The sequence below is a fragment of the Homo sapiens genome, chromosome 7 (assembly GCF_000001405.40).
Source record: "Homo sapiens chromosome 7, GRCh38.p14 Primary Assembly".
Classification (NCBI taxonomy): domain Eukaryota; kingdom Metazoa; phylum Chordata; class Mammalia; order Primates; family Hominidae; genus Homo; species Homo sapiens.
This window is the reverse complement of record NC_000007.14, coordinates 151,421,387-151,442,725: the sequence shown is the minus strand read 5'-3', so window position 1 is coordinate 151,442,725 and position 21,339 is coordinate 151,421,387. Positions and strand designations below refer to the sequence as shown.

Here is a 21,339-nt window from a genome sequence, read left to right as displayed (position 1 = left end):
TTTTATCTTTTTTTTTTTTTTTTTGAGACGGAGTTTAACTCTGTCGTCCAGGCTGGAGTGCAGTGGCGCAATCTTGGCTCACTACAACCTCCACCTTCCAGGTTCAAGCAATTCTCACTGCCTCAGCCTCCTGAGTAGCTAGGATTACAGGCGCCTGCCACCACGCCTGGCTAGTTTTTGTATTTTTAGTAGAGACAGGGTTTCGCCCTGTTGGCCAGGCTGGTCTCAAACTCCTGACCTTAGGTGATCCACCCGCCCCGGCCTCCCAAAGTGCTGGGATTACAGGTGTGAGCCGCCGTGCCCAGCCCACACAGGGGACTTTTAAGGTGGTGAGAATACTCTACCTGGTGCTCTAATGGTGGAACCATGGCATTACACTGTAGAGGCAGCAAAGTTCTACCTCCATCCTCTTAGGGTCCTGGCTGGGCCTGAGAAATAAATTGACCTAAGACAGATTAACAAGAGAAAAGCATACAAACTTATTTAATACAAGTTTTATGTGGCATGGGAGCCCTTATAAGGAGATGAAGACCCAAAGAAAAAGTTAAGAGTCAAACACTTACATACTCAACTGGACAAAGAGTAGCAAGCTGTGAAAAATCAACCACATTATGTGGGGAGGCTTTAAAAATGTGTTATTTTAACAAAGTCTACGCCGCATTCTCTCAACTTCTCATCCTGTATCCCGATGTATAACATAGGTTCATCGGCTGTGACAAATGTACCACTCTAATGGGGGCGCTGATTGTGGAGGAGGCTCTGTGTGTGTGTGTGTGTGTGTGTGTGTGTGTGTGTGTGTGTGTGTAGGGGCAGGGGGTATACAGGAAATTGCTGTACCTTTTGCTGAATTCAACTTGAACCTAAAGCTGCTCTAAAAAATAAAACCTTTTTTTAAGGCTTATTTTTCCCTGTTGAAAATAAGGGAAGAGGCTTCCCTTTCCTCCCTTTTCTTGCAGAATTTCCTTCTCTGTCATTTTCAAATGTGTGTAAATCTTTTTAATGGCTAAACAAGCCTCTTGCCAGTCTAACAACTCAGTCATGTTTCCTCTGGGAGCCTCTTTGAGTCTTGACATCAAGGAGTAAGTGCCCCCACCCTCCCCGTTTCCTAAGAAGCCTGACTTCAGCTGTCACCTGACTCCAAATTGCAAAACCCACCTCCAGTCATAGAGATACAAGAAAATCAGCAATTTTATCCTGAAAACATGAATGCAGTGGGTTGTGTCTGCTTGGCTACAGAAGAGTGAGATCTCTCTCCATCTTTGCGATCTCTTAGGGGAGAGATCGTGATGCAGATCGCATTCCAGTTTAAAGTTTATTCAATAATAAAATTGTTTTTTTTTCCTTCTACCTTCGTGGAGAAGTTTTCTGGGTTGGCTGGAGATTTTGTTTTTAATTTTATGTCCCCACCAGGGCCCAGGTCCAGAGAGAAACATTGGAATGTGTGGCTTGGCAAGTAAGGGCGCCAGTGGAGGCAGCTGGGCGGCGTCCCTAGGGAGGGGCGTCCCTAGGGAGGACCGTCCCTGGGTTCAAGGGTGACATGCAGGTTCTGGTTTGTACCCTGTCTACTTTTGAAAACCTCCCACAGCAGAGGCAAGGTCACCCCTCTGCCCCAAGAATCACATAACCTCCTCTTCCTGGGCCTCAGTGTCTCATCTGTGAAATGGTCATAAAAATATACTGTTTGAAGGAAGAGCAGCCCAAACTCCTCCCCAAAGCTCCTCCCTCCCCTCCAGCAGAAGCCCCTGTGGAGCACCTGCCCCTCTCTCCTTTGATCTCAGAGCCTGTCCCCCACCACCCCAGCCATCTGAGTCATGAGTCCTGTGTTCCCAGCTCATCTCCCCAGCCGTGTGGGGGCTGCACATCCTGTGGGCTCCATGTTCGCTCTGCTCACTCCACAATCTCTGAGCCTCTGCTGTCTGCCAAGTGCTCGTTCTGGGCCCTGGGGAACTCTCCCTCCGCGGTGGGGCTGCTTTGTGCTGTAAACTGATCCTGGGCGTCCAGGGTGGCTTAGTTGGTGCAGCAGAGAGGCAAGGGGCAGAGCACTGTACCCCCAGCTCAGGGCAGCGCGGGTCACCTGGTCACCCTAGGCAGGATCTTCAAGGAGAGAGGGACCCAGGGAGGGAGAGTGCCAGGGAGGGAGGCAGGCAGGAAGAGAGCGGGAGGAGGGAGGCCTGACCTGGCCTGGCGTTTTGTGGGGTGTGGGGGGGTGCATCAGGAGCTGGGTGAGTTGGAGCCGGAGGTCTAAGGTGGGGACCTGGGAGCTCAGACCAGAGCAGCCAGGGGAGGGGCGGTCAAGGGCTGTCTGTCTGTCCGGGGAAGCTTGGGTTGCATCCTCGTGGAGACAAACAAGTTGGCACCAAGGCGAGACTACCTGCAGCCAGGTGAGAAAGGGGAGTGGGCTGGGGAGCTCGGAACAGGCCTTGGGAGGGAGGGAGATGGGCGTGAGGGCTGAGGGGCAGCGCAGGGGAAGAAAGGTTGGAGGGCTAGAGAGACACCTCCCCTCCTCCCCCCACCACTCCAGGGCAGGGCAGGGGCAGCCGCGGGCTGGGCGGGAGGGCTCAGGGAGGAAGGAGGCTCGGGAGCTAAACGCGGAGAGCACAGGGAGACCCCGGGCAGGGCGGGCTGCACTCGCGGTGGCACAGGGTGGCCGCGGCGGGTCCCAACCGCCTGGTGGCCCCTCGGGCTTAGCACGCCCGACAGCACTAACGCTCCGGGGCCGGCCCAGCAAATCTTTTGTCCGGGGCGGCGCTGAGCCAGCAGGGCGCTGCCCGGTGTAAACGGGGACCCGCGGAAGGGGCGGGGCGCACCATGGCGCAGCGCTCGGGGAAGGTGAGTGCGTCCCTCAACCCCAAGGAAACCGAGTGGGGCTCCGCCTTCGCCCCCTGTGCTAGGGGATGCAGGAGGGTGCACACTGTTGATGGTGACAAATCCAAGGGAAGCTGGTTTAATTTCTTAATAAAATGGGGTGGCCTCGCTACTGGCCTGGGGCCTCTCTGGTGTGGATGGATAGGAAGGTCTCCATCTCCACTCCTTCCTTCTGGGATTCCAACCCCTCGCCCTGCAGTCAGGAGCAGGGAGGGTGTTCAGACTCCCTGGGGCTTCCTTGGGGTGGGGGAGGCTTGGCTTGTCCCACAGCCCTCCGCCCCACTGCTGCGGCTTCTTTGCCCAAGGCTGGCCTCTATGGCTTTTCCTTCCCAGGGTCTCTTCAGGGACACTTAGGGCTGGTTCTCTGAAAAATGTTGAGATTTGAGGGAGCCCCGAATCCCTTTGGTGCCCAGACCTCCCTGAAGGTTTCAGGGGCCCTCTACCAGCCGTGCCTGGTGCAGGAAGGACGGGAGACCTGGCTCTCCCTCGCCCTCTCCAGTGCCCCTAGCCTAGCCACTCCCATGAAGCCTTTGGTCTCCAAGGCCACATTCCAGAGTGTCTGGGGGTGACTGTGTTGCTGTATCAGTCTGCATGGGCCAGGTGATGCTTCAGTAACAAAGGGCCCCAGTAACTCTGGGGTGCAGAACGCCAAGGTGTCTGCCTCCTTTCCGGTGAACGCATGTGGCCACGCCTGACTCCAAGGGGCCTGGAAGGGCAATTCTCGTGTTCTTTTGAGCGAACTGGAGACACTGGTGAGGCACAAGCGACCATAGTGATGGGGAACATCACTGCACTCTGGCAGGACCCTTCTAGGGCCACAGTTCTTGAAACCCAAAGAGTTACTAAATGGTTGAGATTTTAGGTTCCACAGCAGGAAATGAGTCTGGCGGGTTGTTATTGCTTCACTTTGTTTTGTTTCGGGACAAGGACAACCTGTGAGTGCCACGTAGCTATAAGACACGATGTCTGAACTCCCAGCAGGGTGATGGAGCTCCAGATCTGATACATGCCTGCTACCCAAAGGAGTGACCTACAAAACACAGAGAGACAGGGTGGCACTTATAAGCCCTCTTTTGCGAACATTAATCCCGAGCCAGGCCCTGACGCGGCTTCGGCCCATTCAGCCTCTCCAGTGAAGGAGGCCCAATCCCAGGAACCCGAATTTCTGCAAAATATATGCTGGGTTACCATGAGAGGGTTGTGGGTGAAATTTCTTCTTTTGAAAACACCTCCTTTAATGTTATTATCGGCTTTATGTTTTAATAATTAAAAAATGAGTTAAAAATGCAGTGGAAGTTGAAAACAGCCCATTTTGAAATGGGCACCTAGACAAAGGGGAAACCCCTGTCCCCAAATCGCTGCTGAAATTTGTCTGCCCCACTGTGAGCTCCTAAGGGTGGGGAGGAACAGTAGCTGTGTATGGCATCAGCCTGCCAGCTGTTCGTTCTTTTGCCCAATTGGCAAATAGTGTTGGGCACCTACTGTGTGCAGCAGGTCTGGGCTTTTGGGGGCCTGGGAGTAGGGGTTCCATCCAGGGTGTTGGGACCCAGACGCCAGCCTCCAACGCTGACGGAGAGAAGCCCCTGACCCTGAGCTCTGTAACCTGCCCTTTCTAGATCACTCTCTATGAAGGCAAGCACTTCACAGGGCAGAAGCTGGAGGTCTTCGGGGACTGTGACAACTTCCAGGACCGGGGCTTTATGAACCGAGTGAACTCCATCCACGTGGAGAGCGGAGCCTGGGTCTGCTTCAATCACCCCGACTTCCGGGGCCAGCAGTTCATCTTGGAGCACGGCGACTACCCCGACTTCTTCCGCTGGAACAGCCACAGTGACCACATGGGCTCCTGTCGGCCTGTAGGAATGGTGAGTGGGCCCGTCCACCGAAGGCTGAGTCTTCCTGCTGGAGGGACCGAGGGTCAGCCCTGGCAGACAGTGGCAAGGAATCGGGGAGCGTGGTCCTCCCGGCTTTAAAGTCTGTAAGACTGAAGGAGCTATACCCAGAGCCACCTGCTGGCATGAGGTGAGTAGGTGGGGGGCCAAGTTGCTATGAACTGAGTGGGAGTGGCCCTGAGTTTTCATACAGGTATCAATAAACCACTTTAAGTTTCGGAGCCAAAAATCTAGCTGCATTTTCCATTTAAAATGCTGTTGAAATCATCCAAATTTAGATTTCCAGCCAGATAGGGGACACTCCGCCAATGGGAGGCTGATTTGGGCCTAGTGTGGCCACTAGTACAGGTGGTCTTGTGGCACATTCTGGAGCCTTCCATGTCTTGGAATGGCTGATGGAGGAAGCTGAAGAATCACCCGCCTGTCAGGGGAAAATTGGGGGGCAGGTCCCTTGGAATTACACAGGTAGCTGCCGCCCAAGAGGTGTGTGCAGGGAGGGCAGACGAGGGGCATGGCTCCCCGGTGGCGAAAGACTGTTTCGGTCCAGCTGCTCCTAGGGTGGGATTTAAGCAAGGCCGTTCCCCCAGGTCATGGGTACTCACTGACCTGCTGTGAGCTCTGGAGCTTCAGGTGGGGAGTGGCGGACTCCTGAGCCTGGGGGCGTGCATCTCTCATCACAGAGCGTCTCGCTTATGTCTGCTGAGGACCCTCCCCCGACGCCTGGGCTGGGTGGTTCTGGTGAACATCTGAGGAACCCCAGTAAAGGGGCCTTTGTGTGGTGCCCCCTCTCTTTTCTGTATCAGTTGCAAAACCAGCTGGGCTTTGGCATCTCAAATTGTAAGAATGCTTCCTTAGTATTTCTTCCAGGCTGTGGTCCATTTGGAAAAAAGAAATTTAAATGGTTGGCCCTGGACCCTGCATAATGCTATTTATATGAAAAACATCCTTGGTATCTTGCGAACTGCTGTTCTCCTAAGAGCTAGCCTGGGGCCAGCTGTGACGCAGACCAGGCCCTGCCGGCTTCTGAGCCAGGCAGGGGCTGGCCCTCCTCTGTCTTTTGGAAATGCGGGAATCATATAGGGAGATGTGCTGAGCCTAGGGGACAATGATGTCAAGGCCAGCAGGGGTTTCAGCACATGAGATCTGGTATTTGTTTTAGATTTTTGGCTTTATGTTTTACTAAAAGGTTCTATTACAGTTTTAAAATGTTATCATTTGAAGGCTTGCCCATGGGCTGTGGCCCAGGGGTGGGGAAGTCAGAACCCGGAGTGTGTGGCTGTGATCAGGGCCGGAGTCCCCCACGCTGAGCACCCAGAGGGAGCCCCGTGACCCCAGCCCTGGTCTGAGTGTGACCGCTGGCCTCTGGTCAGTTTGGCCCTCTTTGGACCTCAGATTTTCTAGTTGTAGAAAGAGGAGCTTGGACCAGCTCAGTGGCTTGGAACATTTTCAGAGTAATAGAACCCTTTCTTCCAACCACATCTCATGTGGAAGAACAAACAGAAGTGTGGGGTTGAAGTGTGTGGGGTGGGGGTGCCCAGTGCCTTGGGTACCTCCTAATTCCTTCCTGCATGGGGCTTCTGTTTCTGGGAGAGGGGAATTCACAGCAACCTCCTTCTTTCCTTCTTTTTTGCTTGGTCTTGGAGCACGGAGAACATTTCCGCCTAGAAATCTTCGAGGGTTGCAACTTCACGGGCCAGTGCCTGGAGTTCCTGGAGGACAGCCCCTTCCTCCAGAGCAGGGGCTGGGTCAAGAACTGTGTGAACACCATCAAGGTGTACGGGGACGGAGCGTGAGTACAGGCCACGTGGCCGCACCCCGAGGCCCGGCTAGGCCCTTCAGCACCAGGCGTGGGAGGCTGCCCGCCACACAGGGGTGGTGGGTGGGGTGGGAATGAGACCTCCAGCAGTGGGCAGCGTGTCCCTGGCCCCACAGGCCCTCTCCTTTCCTCAGCTGCCTCACCTGCCCCAGTCAAGCAGCGGGGAGCTTCCCCTGTGGCCCAGAAGGGCCTCAGAGAGGGACTCTGGGCCCCAGAGGCACCCTGAGACCTTCCCTCTAGGGCCTCAGTCCAGGAGCAGAGGTAGGAGAGTACCTTGAAAGTTGCACGGTTCTCTGCGATTGATCTGATACAAGGGGCCGCCTTTGGTTTTCTTGAACCGGGGGACACCTGCTTACCAAGGGGTCCTCCAGGGCCTTATGGGCTGGAAAAGCCACAGTGGGCTCACTTGCTCTGAGAAGGGTGGACCAGCCCACCCTGCCCCCGCGCCTACCCCGCAGAGCTGACCCCTGAACCGGGCCTCTCTGCAAACCCCCACCACCCTGGCCTCTGGGAGGAGATGGACTTCGGGGTGGCTCACTCCTGGACAGAAAGTAGCTGGGGGAATTTTGCCCAGGCCCAGATGGGTTTGTCTGCCCCACACTTGGGTTTCCTCCTGGTCAACCAAGGGCAGCCTGTGTGCCCCCTCCTGCCCTCCCGCACACTCCCCTTTTGCAACTATCCTCTGAGCACCTTCAAGTTGGCCATGTATTTTCATTGTCCAGCCCACACCTCTAGGTCAGGTAGATATTATCGCCCCCGTTCTACAAAGGGCAAGCTGAGACTCAGAAGGCTGACTGCCCGGCCGCCCCGTGGGAGTGGCACAGCTGAGACTGCAGCCAAGCCTGTGTCTGTCCCTGTTCCAGAGCTAGCCGCTTTCCCAGGCCTCAGTCCCCTCCCCTCAGGCCAAGAGCCCCTCACACAGGTTCCAGCTGGCTGTGCATGGTTCTGGCGCCTATCGAAGCAATTGAGGAACAATTTGCCGTCTATACTACAGAGGTTCAAGGCCAGGGAGCTTCGGAGGGGATGCAGGGGGCAGAGGGACTGCAGGGAGACAGAGACTGGGCCGAGGCAGAGCTGGGCACAGGTGGTACCCCATGTCCATGGGCTCCAACCGCACAGCGAAAATATCCCCCCACAATTGTGTCTATGCTGAATATGTACATTATTCCCTGAAAGATACTGTACAACTATTTACATAGCGTTTATGTTGGATTAGGTATCATAAGTAATCTGGAGATGATTTCGAGTCCAGTAAGTCCTCACTTAACATTGTGGATAGGTTCTTGGAAACTGTGACTTTAAGTGAAACAATGTATGGCAGGTCCTCAAATATGTCATCTTGTTCAATGTGGATTCATTATAAAATTGATGAGGGGAGAAATGGCTTTGTTATATATCATGTGCTTAAAGCCACGGTTCCCAAGAACTTACTGACGGTGTTAAGTGAGGACTTACTATATATGGGAGGATACACATGGGTTATATGCAAATACAGTGCCATTTTATATCAGGAACTTGAGCATCCTCGGATTTTGATATCCAAGGGAGGTCCTGGAACCAGTTCCCAGGGATAGGGAGGGACTGTGTACATCCCACCTTTCCCCGGTGGCCTGATGTTGGCCCCCTTCCTGCTGTTTCTGTCACTCTAGCTGGCTCCAGGATTCCGTTTTACGAAATTGCATTTTGCCCTAAATTGGTGGCACCTGGAGCCCAGGGGTGGCATTCCAAAACAAGAATTTGCCCTGGAAAACTTGCTGGCTAAATTGTGTCTTGTAAGGCCCAAGTCATGCCTTTGCGTGGAGGATGTCCTGAGGCCCTAGACACAATCCCCCCGGCCCACCCCCAACGCTCAGGGGCTTGTTGAGAACGAAGGTGGGGAAGGTGGAGGCTAACATTTCTCTGACTGAGGGGCACACAATCCCCACTGTCCCTGAGAGGAGCCAGCCATCGGGACCCCAGGTGGGGGACCCAGGAGCTCAGCCTTTGCCGCCTAAGACTCTTACTCTTACACAAATGTAAGCCCTTGTCAAGGAGGTAACGCCCCCAGGTCCCCTCGATCCGGAGGGGACACTGCTAGGAGGCCTTTCCTGGGGTCGGGGGAGTGGGCAAGGCAGGGTCCCTCCACCACCTCCCACTGCCAAGACTCCTTCCCTCTGGGTCCCACATCAGCCCAGGCATGACCCATCCCCTCAGACCCGTGTCCTGGTGGGCTCTCGGAGGGAAATGCACTGGCGTTCTGCCTCCACCTACCCTCACCTGGGGAAGGGCACGGTGCTGATGTGGGCAGGACAGGCCCCTGCCCTTTCCTCTGTCTGCCTCCTCCCAGTAGCCACAGCCAGGACAGGGGACAGCAGGATGGGTGGTTCCCCGCCCCCTCCTTTTGGGGGTGTCCATGTGAGAACCCTCATGTGGCCCAGGACATGGCTTGGGGCATTTCTTGCCCACCACAGGGTAGGAAAGGACCAGCTGACTCTCTGAGGTGCCTCTGAGGCCCCAGCTGTGGCACAGGTGTGGGGTTGGAAAGCTGTAGGTGTGGAGGGGCATGGATACGGGGGCCATGAGGGTGGGGTCCAGGCTGGACCAGGCCTGCCCTGAGTCCCCCAGCAGGTGCTCCAGGCTGGCTCACACCCTCTGCCTCTCTCTCTTCCTTCCTGGCCCCAACCCTTGAGGCAGCAGACTGTGCCAGGCACCAGGCATGACAAGCCTCACTCGTCTCAGAGATGGTGAGGGAAGGACAGGGTTGGGCCAGCCCCTGCTCCGAGCTGTCCTGAGGTGTCTTCCTTGGACCACATGCCCCTTTCCAGGCAAAGGCCACTATCCTGGACCTCCAGTCCCTTCCTCCTGGTCCCCCGTTCCCTCCCCACCGCACCTTCCTGCTTTTCTGGGCCGGGCCCACAGCTTCCTGGGTGATGAAGAGCTGTGTTCTCTCCTGCCCCCACCAGCCCGAGGTCCTCCAGGCTCTGTAAAGACTTGTCCTGACTGTTTCTGCTCTCTGGGTTGTTGGTGGCTGCCCCAGTGGTGTGCAGAAGGGGAGGAGGACAGGAAGGGGCCCTGCTTGGGACTCCCCAACCCTCCTCTGTGCCCTGCAGGCTCCTCCATGCAACTGCACCCCCACAGCCCATTTCCTCTGCAGGGGAGGCCCCGTGAGGGCAGGAGGGGGCAGGAACCGTGTTGTGTGACCATGGCACCTCTGGTACCTGACACAGTGTTGGGCACACATGTGGGAACCTGCTGGCATTCACTGAATGAACGGTGCCCTCTGTGCCAGGCCCCCCACCAGGTGCTGGGGGTACTGTCTGTGCAAGGTGGTCCTTATCAGGGAACAGGAGTGTGTGGGGCGTGCAGTGATGGCGGGAGTGCATCCTTGCCAAGGATGGCTGAAATGCAGTGGCGCAATCTCGGCTCACTGCAACCTCCGCCTCCCTGGTTCAAGCAATTATCTTGCCTCAGTCTCCCAAGTAGCTGGGATTACAGGTGCCCACCACCACACCCAGCTAATTTTTGTATTTTTAGTAGAGACGGGGTTTCACCACGTTGGCCGGGCTGCTCTCAAACTCCTGACTACAAGAGATCTGCCTGCCTCGGCCTCCCAAAATTCTGAGATTACAGGCGTGAGCCCCCATGCCCGGCCAGGACTGGTCAGTTTTAAAATGTGGACATTACTGGGCCTGTCCCCACACATGTCACACCCCAGCATGGACCCCACAGGGCACTGGGGAAGGCACCGTGGGTGCCTTCGTGTAGCCCAGAGTGAAGGGGCCGCTCGACCGGGAGGGGTTGCTGGGTGGCCAGGCTGTGCAGGCTTTTCTCTCCGGAGTCCCGGGGGACTTCCTGGCAGCCCCTGATCCCCACTCCCCTGGCCTCCAGGTGGGTCCTGTATGAGGAGCCCAACTACCACGGCCGCATGTACGTGGTGGAGAGTGGCGACTTCCGCAGCTTCTCGGACTGGGAGGCCCACAGCGCACGAGTGCAGTCGCTCCACAAGGTGGTCAACTTCTTCCAGCCGAGCCCTCCCACCGGGATGGCCGGGCGCAGCTCTGGGGACAGGGGCAACCCCTTGCGGTCCCACCCAGACCTCGGGACCTTGGGCGATAAAAGTCCTCAAAGCCAACGGGCGGCTTCTGAGTGCTCTCTCGGCAGTGGGCATCCCAGCCCTGGGAGGAGCTGGATGATCCAGGGCGCTTTCCCGGACTCCCAGGGACCCCCTGGGCCAGGGAGGGGAGAGTGGTGGGGAGAGGTGGTGAGAAGCAATGGGGATGGGGCAGGGCCGGAACCCAGGCCGGTTCAGGACTCCCCAGGCTCGCTTGGGGCTCTGCCTCTCTGTGACTCGGCAAGGTGAGGCTGCCAGGCCATGTGGCCAAAGGCCTGACCCAGGGTCTCTGTGTCTGATCTCTGGGTTTTATCCTCATGGCTAATCTTGGCCTCGGAGTTTCTAAGGGAGACCCCTCTGGAAGGATGGTTTCGACCCAGGGCAGACCCCTCTCCTGCGAGAGAGAAAACAGTTAGTGGTGGTGAGTGTCAGGGTGGGGGCTTAGCTTGAACAGGTGGGCTCTGTGGGAATGGAGGGGCTTTCGGGGAGAAAGGGGCATGGGGCGTGTCTGCTGCAGCCATAGCCCCTGGAGCAGTAGGGCTGGCAGACCCAGAACCGGCGGCTCGCGTCTTCAGCTGGTGCAGCACCAAGCGCTCGCCTGTAGAATTCCTCCATTCCTGGGCCCTCTCCAGGACACTGGGTCCTCCTGTTGGGGTGGGCTTGAATCTAGAGGGGACACCCCACCCTTGAGGGGCAGAGGGGAGGGAGAAGTCTGTCCTGGAAGGAGATACTCGGCCCAGGCAGTGGGATTCCTGGGCATAAGAGGTCCACGTCCCCAAAAGCATCCCCCCACTCCCTCCCCACCCACGCCTATGCTTCCAACTCACTGGGGAGAGAGGAAAGGTCCCACGAGGGGAACTCTGGTCCCTGGGGGTGGCCCAGGTAACTCCCTGCTGCCGGCAGCCCTCCAGCAGAGTCCTGAATGGAGCCTGCCTGTGAGGAAACCATAGCCCACCCCAGAAGGAGGCAACAGATGGAGTGCTCTGGGCTTCTGAGGAGAACACAGGGGCCCTGGACCCGAGATTCCTGAGCATGGGGGCTCCTGGACATGGAGACCCCAAAGATGTCCACATGGCCTGTGCCTGGACCAAGGCCTGGCTGGATGAGGGATCAGTGGGGGGCCAGGTGCATGGGTTGGATCACCCGTGTGCCCACAGAGTTCTGGCTGTGGATCTGACTCCTGGTCCAGCCTCTAATCCCCGACTGCGATCCCAGAGTCCCCCCAACCAACTGGCTCCCGACTGGCCTCTCAGTTCCCGGGTCCTCCTCACCATACATCTTACTCCAGTTTTCTGAGTAGATGGAGGGGTTTGGACTGGGGATCAGCCCCTCTAGGCTGGTCGCCCAGCTCAGGACTCCGAGGGAAAGCCCATGAGCCCTGGGTTACTATCTGAGTTGAACTGAGACACCCCGACAGGCCTAGGGGGTGATGGAGTACGGCAGGGAGCTCAGCGAGGGAACACAGGGTTCCCGAGAGAAAAACAAAATCTCAGGGGCTGATTCTGTCGCACAGTGTGGTGGCCTGAGTGTGGTGGGCCAGGGGATGGCTGTCCCGTTCCTGGGTGTCCTCCAACCTCTCCCCATCCCTCACTGAGAGAGCAATGGAAAAAGAGTCACGATGGGTCACCCAATTCACCCAAGACAATTCCCCACCAAGAGCTGGGTGGCAAAGACGGAGGGGCCCCATGACTGCTGTGGGACCCCCGTAGGCTGTCCCATGACAGCCGAGGCCAAATGAAGACATGAAACCACTAGGCAACCGTCCACTCCGCCCAGGAAAGGGGAAGGGGCTCCCTGCTGCCATGTGGTAGATGGGTCCCCAAAAGGCCTGCTCTGTACCCCTAATGCCCTGGCCCCACCTCCTTTCACCTGCAAACCACAGAGCATGGAGCCCTAGAAGCTTCGGAGCTGAGGACTTCCAGCTGAGCAGCTCTCTTCAATCAGATCAAGGACCGGAAGAGGCCACCACAAAACCAGCAACAACCCAGCCACCTTTCCTGACTGCAAACCTCTGAGCCTGGAACCGATTGACATGTAAATGCACCTGCACCGTTTCTGAGCCGGGAGAGTGTTTACTTAAAATCATGCCCTCAGTTTTCATTTCTCTGCCAGTTTGTTAGGGAGGTGGAGCCTTCTGTGTGTCATATCTGCCAGCGGGAGGCCCTCCCCACCCATGGCAAGGGCCCTGTCTCTTCTGAAACAGCCGTCCAACCCTCCACCCCACAGCCTCCTTGGGCCTTGGCACCCTGCTGGCCTCAGGCCTCCACAATCTCGCACCTCAGCCCACAGCTGATGATGGTGATGATGTTGATGAATATTTATGGAGCACTGACTTAATGCCAGGCTCTGTAGTAGCTGGAATCTGTGTAATTTTACTTATCATATACAATAATGCCAAGATGATATGCTTATCACCACTGTACAGTTGAGGAGAGCCAGCCACAGACAGGTTAAGCAACTTGCCCAGGGTCACACAGCAGTCAGGACTAAAACCCAGGTCTGGCTGGCTGATTGATCCTTTTCGTTCCTAACCACTCCTCTATAGAGCACCACACATTTGCATATTTAGATATATTTTTGTCATGAATTTGGCGCAAACCCAAAGCCTCTCCAGGCCTCAGACCCTGTTCTGTGAAATGAGTGCAATCATGTCTGCTGTACCAACTGTATACCCTTGTAAAAGCCAAAGGCGTGACCCATGAGCGGGTGCCATATGAGGGCTGGTTAGTAGTAGGTGACCCAGTAGGTGACGGGGTGGGGAAGCAGGCAGGGGAGTGGCATCACAGGAGAGAAGGTAACTTGGCTCCAAACTCCAACCTGATTCCCACTCCATCCCTCACTAGGATGTGACATTGGAGAAGCCACTGCTGTGTGTCTCAGTGTCTTCAGACGTACAGCAGTGGTAATCATTCCGCCCCCTCATAGGCAATTAATGCCTGGGGAATGAAATGAGAACTGCAGGCCCCACCGGTTCAGTCCAGGTCCTTGGGAGTCACGGGAAAAACCAGGCCTAGCAGCCCTTCCCATGAGTTCCAGAGGCTTCCCCTGAACTCTTCCTCTCCTCCCCAGCACCAAGGCTTAGCAGCATCTCATTAACTGGTGATTTAATGCTTCTCGAATGGGCTTTGTGCTCCTGGGTGACCTCCCCCTCACCCCAGCCCCCTGCTCCCTAATCTGTCAGCAAATCTGCTTTTTGTCTGAAAGAGGAAAAACAAGATTCCCACCAAAGTGCTTGTGGGCAGCTTGTAATTTATCTGAAGTCCGTCCAGGGGTCGATGGACCGAGGGTGAGAGGCCCTCAAGAGCCACACATGCTTCACATATTTCTACCTCCCTCTGTGGTTTGGAAAGCTGGGACTTTCACAGAGCCATCCCCTCATGTCCTCAGCCCTAGGTCCCCCTGCCCTGCTGGCCCCCCGTGCACTGTTTATCAGGCCCAGTCTGACCACAGGAAAAACATTCCCTTTGAATCCCCCCAGCCACCCCATCCCCCGCACCAAGAAGTTCCTCTCACCAGCCAAGGGCTGGTCCAAGAAGTCTCTGTTGGCCCCTTCCCCTTCCTGGGCCTCCCTCCCATGCCCCGAGGTGGCCTGCGCCTGGCAGGCTACCGCCTTCTTGGCTGGAGGCTTCTTGGCTCACCTCTTCACCCCACTGGGTGCCTTAAGAGCAGGGCTGTCCTGCCTGTGTTCCCCCCAGGAAGCCACAACAGATCTTCAATCAAAGCCTGTTGGATGAGTTTGAGCCCAGGGACGTCAAAAAAAAAAAAAAAAAAAGAAGAAAGAAAAAGACAAACTAACAAAAAACTTGTCAAATGAGACAGTTTTAAAGGTTTAGCTCCAGAGTTTCAGTTTGTGAAGATGACAGACTTCTGGAGACAGACAGATGGTGCTGACGGCCGCACGACTATGTGTGTGTACTTAATGCCACTCAACCACACACTTCAAATGGTTAGGATGATAAATTGTATGTGTATTTTGCCATAATCAAAAAAAATTAACTCCTTGTTGCTGAGGTGCTCAGGACTGTTGGGGGCAATGTGGGAATGAAGGCCCTCGCTGGATCCCAGGGAACCCTGTGGGTCTCCTGTGCGACCATGCCCCACATTCCCTACCTGAAGAAGCTATCACCTGCTTATTGATTGCGTGGGTCCCATCGGCTTGGCAGGGCTCTTGGCTGTGGCTGCTGGGGAGGCTGAGATGCAGGAGGAGGAAGAGGAGGAGGAGGAGAAGGTCCTTGTCCTTCAGCAGGGATCCCTGGAGCGTCCCTGTGGTTACCTGGGACTAACCCTGCCTTCCGGACCCCCAGGACTTAGTAGCCCAGGTCTGGGGACACCAGGAAGGGGTGACTTGGGCAGCCTGCCCTGAACAGCGAGCATTTGTGTGAACAGGCTCCTGGCTTCCTTGCCTGTGGACAGCCCGCTTTGGAATTGTGATTTAAAAGGATCCTGTGGAACCCAGCTGGCGTGGGCTGTGCATGGAGGGGTGGAAGCCCTGGACCCAGCCTTGCTGGGGCTGGGGGATGGACTGGGCAGGTCAGTGCTGGTAACGCTAGTCCTGGTCCATGCCTGCCCTGGGACCCCCAGGACTGCCCTCCCTGGGTAGGGGCAGGGGCAGGGGCAGAGGATACGGCTGGGCTGAGGGTGCGCATTCTCATCCCGAAGAGGGCTCAGCGATGTGTAGGATTGCTCTGGCTAGGGGGCTGAGCAGGTTATAAGGACCCTCTCCACGAACCCTGCCTGGCCCCCAACACCAAGAGCGGGAGTTCTCACCAGTTGGGCTGGATCGTTCCGCGGGCTGAGATGGTCGTGCCCTGGGTTCCATTCCCGTAAAGTGTTCATTTCTAGGTGCCAGGCACAGGGAGCAGGGCGGCATGTCCCCCGCACAGTGTGCCCAGCCTAAGCACCAGCCCTGGCATTCCTAAACTGCACAGACAGACATGCGGGCAGTAGAAATGGGCGCTCCCACCCAGTGGGGCTGCTGGGTAGAAGTCCCTTCATGGGGCTGGTGATGGCCGAGGTGGTGTCACCTCTACACACAGAGGGGACGCTCAAGTGTTGCTTTATCCTTGGAGGCACTGGGCCCAAGGCCAGGGGAGGAGCCCATTGTGATAAAAACGCAGATACAAAAAGTAGGGGAAGAAATCTTTGCGGCAGAGGGGACTTAGAAAAATGTTGTAGAAAAAAGCGAGGCATCCATAATATTCTCCCCGCCACAAGTCCTGTGCTGTCTGCTAGAGAGGAACTGCTAATTGGGCCAAAGCAAGCAGGGAAACAGGATCAGCTCCATCATTCGCTCAGTCCCAAAGATGAAAGGAAGCTAGTTTTCCGGAAGAAGCCCAGCAATTCCTGGGACCGAGGCCAGAGAGAAGTTTCTTCCACGGGTCCGCTGGCCCCATGCCGATGACTCACAAGCTGCACCCTCAACGTTAGCCCTCCTGCGGGGAAATTAACAGGTTTCCTAGGATTTTCTGTAATAGCATCCCACAGGATTCGGTGGACGGCACTGTGCCAAAGTCAACTTTTTGTGGGGGAGGAGATTTTAACATTTCTGGTTTACGTATGAGTATATTGCTACTTTTAAGTGAACCTAATTGGGTCATGAAAGCGGGACCTGGCAATGACTGGTTATCAGTAGATACCAATACCAACAGCATTTTCTTGGGTAATTACTATGACACAAACTGTGTGCTAACCCATTTTTTACATATAACAAGGTGGGTATATTATTTTCTCTCTTTTACAATGGAAGAAATAGACCTAAAAGGATGATTGTAACTTGCCCAAATGTGTGCCATAAATGGCCAAAAAGGCCAAGTGCCCCTGGCCGTCTGACCCCAGCCCACACCTAACCCCCTCTACACATCATCCCCTGTGGCAACGGCTTCCCAATCTTTTTGACTGAGACTCACATGTAGGTCATTAGATATAAAACTAACACAGCTGTGTCACAAATAGTCCCGATCCTCACTATTTAGTTGAGCATCAATATTTTCTATTTTATTTTACTTTAAAAGAATGCTGGTCAGAGACCCACTAAGTTGATTTCGCAACCTCCTAGTAGGTCACAATTCTCCAGTTTGAAAAACACTACACCACTGCCTCATAGTGTAAACAAACGAAGATTTAAGGAGCCACAGCCTACGCTGTGGATTAGCTCTTCCAATCCCAGTGCCCTCCTCCCTCCCTTGCCTGCCTTCACTAAAGCATCCAGAAAAGCCAAATGCTCTTTTCTCTGCCTCCCAGGCCATGGGACATAGCTCTGGTCACTGAGATGAAAGCTGACAGAAGGACTTCAGAAAAAGCTTTGGCTTTCTGGATAAAAAGCCCCTTTCCCCTGGCTTCCTGCCTTGAATAAAGATGTGACGCCAGGAACTCAGGCAGCCTTCTTGTAATCATGAGATAAAAGCCAAGAGAACCAGGGAAAGGCTGGCACCAAGCTCACAGAGCTGCTAAATCAGCATCAGCAGCCACCCTTCTTGTTATGTAAGAGAAGTGAACCCCTATTTGTTTCACCACACGTAGGTTTTCTATTATTTGCAGCTGAAAACATTCCTAACTAATAACATAATAACCAAAAACCCCCAAACCTCAAACAGGTAGGTCCTCCTGTGTTAAACCCTGTGCTTCATTGTCTGGTGAGCAATAAAGACACTTGCACTTGGAAATACTAAAATAGATTTTAAAAAACCAACCTATTAAATAGTTCATCTATTTAAGGTCGTAGTTCGTTTTTTCCCAATTAGAGGCACTGCCTGCCCTGTGGCATATATTCAATGGCCACGGTATCCTGACCGTGGCTAATTTTTGTATTTTTAGTAGAGATGGGGTTTCACCATGTTGGCCAGGCTGATCTCGAACTCCTGACCTCAAGTGATCTGCCTGCCTCCGCTTCCCAAAGTGCTGGGATTACAGGTGTGAGCCACCACGCCTGGCCTATTTGTTTCTGTCATGGAGCAAACCCAGATTCTTTGGAAGAGAGTTTTGTGGGATGTGGAAATGGAAAACAATTGCATGGGAATGCCACATTCGGTGTGGGGCCTTTATGAAGAAACATGTGAAAGGTTTCCAGAAGAGAAGGCAACATGATTCACGTTGGAAACTGCAGGGCTGTGGTTGTTTAGATTAGAGAGAGAAGGGGCCGGGTGTCTGGCTGCTGTAACAAGTCTCTATGTTAATTTCCAAGTGCATCCCTATCTTCATTTATGTTTGATGGTTACCTGTCAGGTGAGCAGAATAAGTCTTGTTGTTCCTGGTTAATGAAAAAGGAATCGAGACCCTGAGAGGTAGAGGGGTTTGCCTGTGTTTACATCGTAGGTCTCCATGGAGCAGTCCAGACCTCTTCCCAGAACTCATGCTGGCCTTGCTACCCAGAATTCCTGCCTTTAGGGAATGACCCTTCCCCTGGCCCTGCCTTGGTTCTGGTGTGTGTGCCTCACCCTCAATGCCCTGCCACATGTGGGCTGGGCCAGTCAGATGCACTCCTGGGAATTTGAATCTTACACAGAGACACAGAGGAACCCAAGGTGGATAGAGGCTTGAGCCGAGTCCGTTTCTGTTACCTGCACACCAAAAACCCTAACTGACAGAAATTTCTACTAGACAGAAGGTTGAAGGCCACAGGCCAGCAGAAAAATGTAGGATATTTGGAATTAGTTATTGGGATCTAGATGAGTAGAGAGTAGTTAAACTCCCATTTACATTCTGGTGTGGATGGCATTATGGGTTGACACCATAACTTATACATTGAACTCCTAACCCCCAGCACCTCAGAATGGGACTGTCTTGCAATGCACTTAGTTAAGTTAGGATGAGGTGTGTCTTAGTCTTTCAAACTATCGTAACAAAATACCAGAGACTGGATGGCTTAAACACAGAAATGTATTTCCTCATAGCTCTGAAAATTGGGAATTCCAAGCTCAGGGTGCTGGCCAACTTGGTTCCTGGTGACGGGCCCCCTTCCTAACTTGCAGTTGGCTACTTTTTCGCTGTGTCCTCACACGGCAGAAGGAGCACAAGATCTCTCTCTTCTTCTTATGAGATTAGGTCTCCACCCTTATGATCTCATTTAAGTTTAATTAGCTGATAAAGCCCTATGTTCAAATACAGTCACATTGGAGTTTGAGCTCGGATACATCAATTTTGGGGGTGCACAGTTCAGTCCACATCAAGATCCTACTAGAGTAGGGTGGGCCCCTGATCCATCATGACTGGTGTCCTCATAAAAAGGGGAAATTTAATTAGATGGGCGTGGTGGGAGGCACCTGTAATCCCAGCTACTCGGGAGGCTGAGGCAGCAGAATTGCTTGAACCCAGGAAGCGGAGGTTGTAGTGAGCCAAGATCACCATTGCACCGACAACAGAGCAAGACTCTGTCTCAAAAAAAAAAAGGGGGGGCGGGATTTAGAGACAGACACACACACAGGGAGACCACCATGTGAAGATAAAGGCAGAGACCCAGGTGATGCTTCTGTGAGCCAAGGAACCCCAAAGACGGCCAGCAAACCGCCAGAAGCTGGGAGGGAGGCCTGGAACAGATTCCTTGAAGCCTCGGAGGGACCCAACCCTACTGACACCTTCATTTATTTCCGACGTCCAGCATCCAGAACTGTAAGACAGCACATTTCTGTTGTTTGAGCCATTCAATTTGTGGTACTTTGTTATGACAGAAATGAAAGGGGAGAGCTGCCTGTGGTACAGACGGGCCACATGCCTAGTCAGGCCACCCTCCGTGGCCAGCTGGAACCAGGTGTGCACTTGTAATGCCCAACCTTGTTTTTACTAACCCTGTTTTTAGACTCTCCCTCTTCCCTTTAATCACCTAGCCTTGGTTCCACCTGAATTGACTCTCCCTTAGCTAAGAGAGCCAGACAGACTCCATCTTGGCTCTTTCACTGGCAGCCCCTTCCTCAAGGACTTAACTCGTGCAAGCTGACTCCCAGCACATCCAAGAATGCAATTAACTGATAAGATACTGTGGCAAGCTATATCCGCAGTTCCCAGGAATTCGTCTGATTGATAACGCCCAAAAAGCCCCGCTTCTAACACCTTATAATAGTCTTAAAGCCTCTACACCTGGAACTGTTTACTTTCCTGTAACCATTTATCCTTTTAAGTTTTTTGCCTACTTTATTTCTGTAAAATTGTTTTAATTAGACCCCCTCCCCTTTCTAAACCAAAGCATAAAAGAAAATCTAGTCCCTTCTTCAGGGCCAAGAGAACTTTGAGCATTAGCTGTCTCTTGACCACCGGCTAAATAAACGGACTCTTAATTCATCTCAAAGTGTGGCATTTTCTCTAACTCGCTCAGGTACAACACACTGAGGCAGGGTTTTGAGGGTCGTACAGTTGCTGTTGCAACATAATTTTAAAAGAATGCAGAACGCAGCTGACATGTAGTTGCCTCTGACAGCACTGGATATTTGGATGCACATCAAGATTAAATCCGACAAAGCTCCTCTCAAGGTGGAGAGCAGAACTCAAGGCCTTCCTGTGACCAGTCTAAAATCTCATTAGGGACAGAGTTTGGAGACGAATCCTGTAGGTTGCTAAATGAAAACGTTAGTTGTCTGCATGAACTTCCCAGAGATTTGATGTGAAATTTAAAGCACTAACACAAAAAGAATGAGACACCAACCATTGGAACGGGGATATTTGGGAGTATTTGGAAAACTAGAACCTCCAGATCCCCCAAGTCCTTTAAAACACCCCCCACTATGTTCCTCTTACCTGAGAAAGATGCTCCTCTTTTGAAGGAGAGAATTAAGAGTTCCCTTCACAGCCCACTATGTAGCGTTGCTTGCCCCATAACAGGAGTTCAGCGTGTGTGGCTTAGACTAGAGGGAGAAGTACAGAGAGACCTAGAGAAACTGCCGGAGGTCACTCATCCACATTGCCAGAAGTCTGGAGAATGTTTGTGGGAATGGATTTTTGAGGGTTCTTGGCCAAAGAGGGAAGAACTGGATTCTGGCTTGCACCAAGGGTATTGATAAGACAATTCTGCATTCTGTGTACTGGCTTAGGGGGTGCTGTCCATGTCCTAACAACCTGCTGATGCAAAGTTGATGGTGTTGAAGTGGCGCAGAAAGGCTAGGAACCCTTGGCATAAGAGAGGGACTGGTTCTGAGCTGTGGGAGACAAGATGCTGAAATAGATCCTTTTGTGTGTTTCCACCCCACCCACCCCTTGGGATGGACCTCAGGATGGAATCAGGCGACTCCTCCACCCTCAGCCTTGCCACAAAGAGTAAACTGCCATGGATTGTTAATGGGAGGGACAGTGATAGAAGGGGGATCCCCAATCTCTGAGGGGTGAGAGGAGCACTGGGAGCTGGAGGTCTTCACTCCGGAAGTGCACTGGGTAGGGCTAAGTGGAGCCTGGATCTCAGGGAGTCGTCTCACCTTCCAAAATCTCAGGTCATGGATGATTGACAGGTATCCCCCAAATTAAGTCGGTAATCAATCCACTCATGTCCCCCTTTTTTTGTAGACTCAGGAAGGTTGCAAGAGGCCCAAGTAGAACCAGCATGCTAGAGAACCATGGCCTGTTATGAAATTCCCAGACCCGGGTCAGCCCACAGACCTGGCACCCTTTGAATGTGAAGGCCAGGCATCCTTGAAGAGGGCAGCTGCTATAATATCACATGTGTATTCTGACTTTTTTTTTTTGGGGGGGGACAGAGT

General features: G+C 53.8%; 2 protein-coding genes and 1 non-coding gene across 6 annotated transcripts, besides 9 other annotated features; all 3 read left to right on the top strand.

Annotated features, from left to right (window-relative positions):
* Positions 1,557-2,093: an enhancer, noted in NCBI's record as "H3K27ac-H3K4me1 hESC enhancer chr7:151137719-151138255 (GRCh37/hg19 assembly coordinates)". NCBI's record gives its function as "activates a minimal SCP1, AML or CMV promoter by ChIP-STARR-seq in primed H9 embryonic stem cells {active_cell/tissue: H9 hESC(primed)}" and the evidence as "EXISTENCE:reporter gene assay evidence [ECO:0000049][PMID:30033119]".
* On the top strand, positions 1,913-13,894 carry CRYGN (crystallin gamma N). Of its 4 annotated transcripts, none has more exons than NR_131779.1 (4): positions 1,913-2,381; positions 4,482-4,887; positions 6,401-6,546; positions 12,546-13,894. NR_131779.1 is itself a non-coding variant. In NM_144727.3 (4 exons), exons 1-4 carry the CDS (start codon positions 2,809-2,811, stop codon positions 12,676-12,678), a joined length of 549 nt encoding a protein of 182 aa, NP_653328.1. In that variant the 5' UTR covers positions 2,585-2,808; the 3' UTR covers positions 12,679-13,894. The 4 variants fall into 4 exon arrangements, 3 of the variants coding, with proteins under 3 accessions (NP_001295221.1, XP_016867262.1, NP_653328.1); NM_144727.3 differs by lacking the exon at positions 1,913-2,381 and adding an exon at positions 2,585-2,829 and having other exon boundaries at positions 4,482-4,730; NM_001308292.1 differs by lacking the exons at positions 1,913-2,381; positions 6,401-6,546 and adding an exon at positions 2,556-2,829.
* Positions 2,805-3,305: an enhancer, noted in NCBI's record as "H3K4me1 hESC enhancer chr7:151136507-151137007 (GRCh37/hg19 assembly coordinates)". NCBI's record gives its function as "activates a minimal SCP1, AML or CMV promoter by ChIP-STARR-seq in naive H9 embryonic stem cells {active_cell/tissue: H9 hESC(naive)}" and the evidence as "EXISTENCE:reporter gene assay evidence [ECO:0000049][PMID:30033119]".
* Positions 3,306-3,806: an enhancer, noted in NCBI's record as "H3K4me1 hESC enhancer chr7:151136006-151136506 (GRCh37/hg19 assembly coordinates)". NCBI's record gives its function as "activates a minimal SCP1, AML or CMV promoter by ChIP-STARR-seq in naive H9 embryonic stem cells {active_cell/tissue: H9 hESC(naive)}" and the evidence as "EXISTENCE:reporter gene assay evidence [ECO:0000049][PMID:30033119]".
* Positions 4,168-5,017: an enhancer, noted in NCBI's record as "H3K4me1 hESC enhancer chr7:151134795-151135644 (GRCh37/hg19 assembly coordinates)". NCBI's record gives its function as "activates a minimal SCP1, AML or CMV promoter by ChIP-STARR-seq in primed H9 embryonic stem cells {active_cell/tissue: H9 hESC(primed)}" and the evidence as "EXISTENCE:reporter gene assay evidence [ECO:0000049][PMID:30033119]".
* LOC124901780 (uncharacterized) lies at positions 6,565-10,434 on the top strand. Its single transcript, XM_047421163.1, has one exon. The coding sequence runs from the start codon at positions 9,269-9,271 to the stop codon at positions 10,172-10,174; it is 906 nt and encodes a 301-aa protein (XP_047277119.1). The 5' UTR covers positions 6,565-9,268; the 3' UTR covers positions 10,175-10,434.
* Positions 9,087-9,237, top strand: MIR3907 (microRNA 3907). The gene has a single exon (NR_037468.1). It is a non-coding gene; the product is annotated as a microRNA 3907 (primary transcript).
* Positions 9,448-9,537: an enhancer, noted in NCBI's record as "active region_26863". NCBI's record gives its function as "activates an Ori minimal core promoter by ATAC-STARR-seq in GM12878 lymphoblastoid cells {active_cell/tissue: GM12878}" and the evidence as "EXISTENCE:reporter gene assay evidence [ECO:0000049][PMID:35858748]".
* Positions 9,808-9,907: an enhancer, noted in NCBI's record as "active region_26862". NCBI's record gives its function as "activates an Ori minimal core promoter by ATAC-STARR-seq in GM12878 lymphoblastoid cells {active_cell/tissue: GM12878}" and the evidence as "EXISTENCE:reporter gene assay evidence [ECO:0000049][PMID:35858748]".
* Positions 12,329-12,528: an enhancer, noted in NCBI's record as "active region_26861". NCBI's record gives its function as "activates an Ori minimal core promoter by ATAC-STARR-seq in GM12878 lymphoblastoid cells {active_cell/tissue: GM12878}" and the evidence as "EXISTENCE:reporter gene assay evidence [ECO:0000049][PMID:35858748]".
* Positions 12,849-12,918: an enhancer, noted in NCBI's record as "active region_26860". NCBI's record gives its function as "activates an Ori minimal core promoter by ATAC-STARR-seq in GM12878 lymphoblastoid cells {active_cell/tissue: GM12878}" and the evidence as "EXISTENCE:reporter gene assay evidence [ECO:0000049][PMID:35858748]".
* Positions 13,696-14,215: an enhancer, noted in NCBI's record as "H3K4me1 hESC enhancer chr7:151125597-151126116 (GRCh37/hg19 assembly coordinates)". NCBI's record gives its function as "activates a minimal SCP1, AML or CMV promoter by ChIP-STARR-seq in primed H9 embryonic stem cells {active_cell/tissue: H9 hESC(primed)}" and the evidence as "EXISTENCE:reporter gene assay evidence [ECO:0000049][PMID:30033119]".

Bases quoted from the DNA above. Each gene is read 5' to 3' on its own strand.
- CRYGN (NM_144727.3), top strand. From the start codon at position 2,809: ATGGCGCAGCGCTCGGGGAAG. The intron at 2,830-4,481 runs GTGAGTGCGTCC...TGCCCTTTCTAG, and splicing joins TGGCGCAGCGCTCGGGGAAG to ATCACTCTCTATGAAGGCAA. The intron at 6,547-12,545 runs GTGAGTACAGGC...TGCAAACCACAG, and splicing joins AAGGTGTACGGGGACGGAGC to AGCATGGAGCCCTAGAAGCT.
- LOC124901780 (XM_047421163.1), top strand. From the start codon at position 9,269: ATGACAAGCCTCACTCGTCTCAGAGATGGTGAGGGAAGGACAGGGTTG.